The sequence below is a fragment of the Homo sapiens genome, chromosome 16 (assembly GCF_000001405.40).
Source record: "Homo sapiens chromosome 16, GRCh38.p14 Primary Assembly".
Lineage (NCBI taxonomy): Eukaryota > Metazoa > Chordata > Mammalia > Primates > Hominidae > Homo > Homo sapiens.
Genome location: NC_000016.10, coordinates 17,512,367 through 17,517,930, shown reverse-complemented (window position 1 = coordinate 17,517,930; position 5,564 = coordinate 17,512,367).

Sequence of the window (5,564 nt, the reverse complement as noted above, 5' to 3'; positions counted from 1 at the left end):
TTTGCTACTCAAGGTGTGATCACAGACTAATTGTGTCACATGAGAGATTATGACAAATGCAGTATCTTGGGTTTCACCCTAGATCTACTAGATCAGAATCTGCTTTTTTTTTTTTTTTTTTTTTTTTGGAGGCAGAGTCTTACTCTGTCACTCAGGCTGGAGTCCATCTCAGCTCACTGCAACTTCCGGCTCCTGGGTTCAAGCAATTCTCATGCCTCAGCCTCCCAAGTAGCTGGGACTATCGGCATGCACCACCATGCCCAGCTACTTTTTGTATTTTTAGTAGAGACGAGGTTTCACCATGTTGGCCAGGCTGGTCTCAACCTCGTGACCTCAAGTGATCTGCCCATCTCAGCCTCCCACAGTGCTGGGACTATAGGCATGAGCCACCGTGCCTGGCTCAGAATCAGCATTTTCACATGGTTCCCAGGTGATTCCTATGCATGTCCAGGTATGGGAAGCCCTGGTTTAATAGAGAACCATGTGGACTCTGGATTGGAAAAAGCTGCACCTTTATCCTCAGTCTATTTCTTCCCTGGGTCGTCCTCATTTCTTCACCTCCTAAACAATGATACTTTCTCTGCTTCATTACTTTATTTATTCCTTCACTCACTTACCAAATATTTATTGACCCAAAAACGCTATGCTAACAACTGGAGGTAGAGAGTTAAATGAATTGTGAGTTTTTCCCTCGAAACGGTGACAGCCTAACAGAGAAGAAAAAGATGGAAACATCTGTAAACACTGCATACTGCAGTTTTCTCAATTTTTTTTTTTTTTTTTTTTTTTTTTTTTGAGACGGAGTCTTGCTGTGTCGCGCAGACAGGAGAGCAATGGTGCGATCTCGGCTCACTGCAACCTCTGCCTCCCAGGTTCAAGTGATTCTCCTGCCTCAGCCTCCCGAGTAGCTGGGATTACAGGCGCCCACCACCATGCCTGGCTAATTTTCATATTTTTAGTAGAGACGGGGTTTTGCCATGTTGGCGAGGCTTGTCTCAAACTCTTGGCCTCAAGCAAACCACCTGCCTCAGCCTTCCGAAGTGCTGGGATTACGGATGTGAGCCACTGCACCTGGCTTCTCAATTTTAATATAGTGATAGTAATAGTACCTACTTCATCAGGTTTGCTAAGGGTTGCCTTTTTACAAATCCATGTTAAAATGAAGCACAGTGGCTACACATAATAACTGATCAGTAAGTGTTAGATATTATTAGTAAGTATTTCAAGCACCAAGACTGAGAGATGTAATTCTATTGGCATACATTTCTTAAGTGCTTACAGTTGACCAGGTGTGGGTCCAAAATCTTGATATATATCATTTAACTCTTAGATCAACCATAGGAGGTAAGTATTATCAATATCTCCATTTGAGAGAAAAGGAGGCGCATGAGGTACCATCTGTAGCACAGGTTAGAGGTGAGAGTGATCAATGCTCTTTGTGTTTTGGGGGTGGGGGCATATACAGAAGAAGGGGCACTTAATCCAGATTATGAATGATGAAGAGTACATCAGGTAAACAGAGGCACCACAGAGAGGGAACAGCAGGTGCAAAGGATGAAGGTATGAGGAGTGAATAAATAGGATGAGATATGTGGCTGGATAGGAAATGTCACACCAGCTGGGTGCAGTGGCTCACACCTTAATCCCAGCACTTTGGAAGGCCAAAATGAGAGGATAATTTGAGCCCAGGAATTTGAGACCAGCCTGTGCAACATAGCAAGACCCTGTCTGTAAAAAAAAAAATTTTTTTAAATTAGCCAAGCATGGTGGTTGTGTGCCTGTAGTCCCAGCTACTCGGGAGTCTGGCATTCTAGGCTGCAGTGAGCTATGATTGAGTCACTGTGCTCCAGCCTGGGCAACTGAACAAGACCCTGTCTCAAAAAAAAAAAAAAAAAAAAAAAGCTATCCAGATGCATTGTATCTTGACTCGGAAATACCAGCTCATGGGGCGTAATGAGCATTCCTTGCACACATACATAGTCTGAGAATTTGAGCTGGGCCTTCAGCAACACCACTCATTTCCAACGGGCAAGTCATTTAAGAGGTTGTTGCCTCCTACCTGGAAAAAGACAGGAAGTCTGGGAAAATAGAGACAATAACTAATGCTTTTGCCTCTCCCCTCTAGGGGTACACAGACATAAATGGTCTCATCTGGACAGAGAACTCTGAACATTTTTTGATCGACAGCTCTGAACAGATGCATGAACCACACGGTTTAAGTCAAGGTGCCGGGGTGAGGTGCTCCACTCTGCTCTGTCTTTAGCCTGTGAATGGCTCAGACTCTTGGATGTTCCTGGCTTAGCTAGGTTTCCATGGCCCTGCACAGAGCTTGGCGTGACAGCAGGTACTCCAAACATGCCTGAACAAGTTGTTATCTCCATCCATTAGATGATGCCATTGGTTCAATTCAACTTTGACTAGAACTTGCGGGTCTTTTCGATTCCAACAGGTAACATTGTATCTGCAGAAGGCTGGATCTTCTTTGTCAGGTTTCAACACTACTGTCACCTTCTCCAAACGTCTCTCCTAACCATTTGATCAAACGAATCTTCGCATACCCCAGTCAACAGCTACTATCCTCTCTACTTTATTTTCTTCACGGGTTTTAGTATCTGAAACTGTCCCCCCAGGGTTGACAAGCATTGCATGCCAGGTTCTGTACATAAATGTAGCTATAATTAAGCATTAATCAGGCTGGACTTTGACTCAATTTGTTTTTGTTAAAAGTCATGTAGCACTGGATACTAACCATTTGCATTCCCATTGTTCCTACAGAGGGATTTCTGACATTAGCGTCATGAGATTGTTTAAGAATAGATTTGCGGCCGGGCGCGGTGGCTCACGCCTGTAATCCCAGCACTTTGGGAGGCCGAGGCGGGCGGATCACGAGGTCAGGAGATCGAGACCATCCTGGCTAAAACGGTGAAACCCCGTCTCTACTAAAAATACAAAAAATTAGCCGGGCGTAGTGGCGGGCGCCTGTAGTCCCAGCTACTTGGGAGGCTGAGGCAGGAGAATGGCGTGAACCCGGGAGGCGGAGCTTGCAGTGAGCCAAGATCCCGCCACTGCACTCCAGCCTGGGCGACAGAGCGAGACTCCGTCTCAAAAAAAAAAAAAAAAAAAAAAAAAAAAAGAATAGATTTGCATCCCCTTCATTCATATAGATAAGATCTCTGACATTAGAATCATAAGGCTTTGGTTAAAGATGTTTTTCAGACCCTGAATTCCAGCAACTTGTTAGAAGACCCCCCACAGAGGAAAGGGATCAGCAAGGGAATATGGCTCCTTTTCTGTTTTGCTTTTTTGAAACAGGGTCTCCCTCTGTTGCCCAGGCTGGGGTGCAGTGGTGCCATCACAGCTCACTGCAGCCTGGACCTCCTGGGCTCAAAGGATCCACCTGCCTCCACCCCTCACAGTGCTGGGATTACAGCCATGAGCCACCATGCTCGGCCAGAATACAGCTTCTTCATCTCCTTGTACCATGACTTCATCCTGCACTTTTCCACTAATCAGTGATCTCCACACATCAGCCCACTCCAAAACCCTTAAAAACCCTAAGCCCAAACTTCTCAGGGAAATGGATTTAAGGTTTCCTCCCATCTCCTCATTCAGTGACCCTATGATTAAACCTCTTTCTCTGCGGCAACCCAGTGTCTCAGCATATTGACTTGTTGCATGCATCAGCCAATGAACCTACTACAGTTACATCTGTACTTCCTCACCAATGTATTTATTTACTTGTGTATTGTCAGTCTGCTCCCATAAAATGTAAGCTCTGAGAATCTTTGTCTCCTTCATCATAATATTCACAATACCTTGAACAGTGTCTGGGACACTGCAATTGGGCAAAAAAAAAGTGAATAAAGAAATGGCTGAGGCCAGGCGTGGTAGCTCACACCCGTAATCCTAGCACTTTGGGAGGCCGAGGAGGTGGATCACGAGGTCAAGAGATTGAGACCATCCTGGCCAACATGGTGAAACCCCATCTCTACTAAAAATACAAAAATTAGCCGGGTGTGGTGGCAGGTGCCTGTAGTCCCAGCTACTTGGGAGGCTGAGGCAGGAGAATCACTTGAACCCAGGAGGCAGAGGTTGCAGTGAGCCAAGATCGCACCACTGCACTGCAGCCTGGCAACAGAGCGAGACTCCATCTCAAATAAATAAATAAATAAATAAATAAATAAAATAAATAAATAAATAAATAAAAGAGCTGTTCTTTCTAACCATAATTTTTACACATGTACCTCATTTCATGAAGGTGAAATAAATGAAAATCTGGTATTATATTCTTAAATAATGTAAAATATTCTTCCACTTGAAATTCCACAAAAGAATTCTACAGCCAGCTCAATGAGGGCATGAAGAGACAATGTCACCCCCTGTCTTTCAGGAGCATGACAGGTAGAAAGGAAGTGTGCAGTGACTTTGTAAACTACCTAGACATCTGTCCCAGATTGGGTCCTCTGGAAGACATTGAATTAGAATCTGGGTACAAGTGTTTATTTGGGAATAATACCTAGGAAAAAAGGATAAAGCAGTTTGGGAATAAGTAAGTCATGTAAGGTGTTGTTGCCTCCTTTCTAGAAAAAGACAGAAAATCTGGGGAAAGAGAGACTGTAACTGTATTTTATAACAGGAAAAACCTCGTGAAACCTGGCAGGGAGCTCTGGAGCAAGTACTGGATTATATCAGAATGACCCAAGTGGGGCCAAAGTACCCAGGCCTTAGTTTATACCCCTGTTTCACTAAGTCACAGGCTGAGGTTGCCCCAAGAAAGGCGTGACCTGGGGCAGCAAATCTTTGCAGCTGAGAAAGACCATGAAGGAACTGACAGCCGACAGCCACCTGCAAACCACATTTTCTAGAGCTGGGCAGCAAGTCTTTTCCTTGAAGGGTCATCAAGACAGGGCACTCCTGGGCACTTCAACGTTGTGAATTTCAAGCTCAAACCAAGGCTCTCAGAAGGCTGGCTACCGGGTGTCCACTGAGTTCCTGCTGTCTTCTAAGATGTGCCACAAATAGTCCAATTCCTAAATTAGAAGTCACGTCCTGTAAGTGCTTGCTGACTTGGCAGTAGCAACACTGACATAATTTCACAAATAATGATGTTATCCGAGGCAAAAGTTGCATTAGATCAATTACCACTCTATTTCAGTGCCATCTGAGTAGCTCTGTGTTTATTTCAGTTCACCTATTTTTAAACCAAAGCTCTCAGGCTTCTGAACCACAACCATGAGCATACCTTCCTTTTCCAGTCCTTGACAGCAACTGGCTCTCATTCTGAACTAAAAAGAATGATGTGGATATCCTCCCCTCCCCATTTATCTTCTCAATTTCCTTACTTTGTATACTTTAATTGGAGGAGGAGGAGTGGTTGTTCTGCTATGAGGAGAGTCAAAAACTTAAGGTTCAAAATAAATAAATAAAGGCAGGGGATATTATTATTTCAGGAGAATGGAAGATTAGCTTAAACTGTAACAGGAGAAGGGTTGTGTTTGATTGAGGAATATTTTCCTGTTGGAGAAAGATGTCAGATGCAGGTGGAGCTGGACTATTAGGAAAAA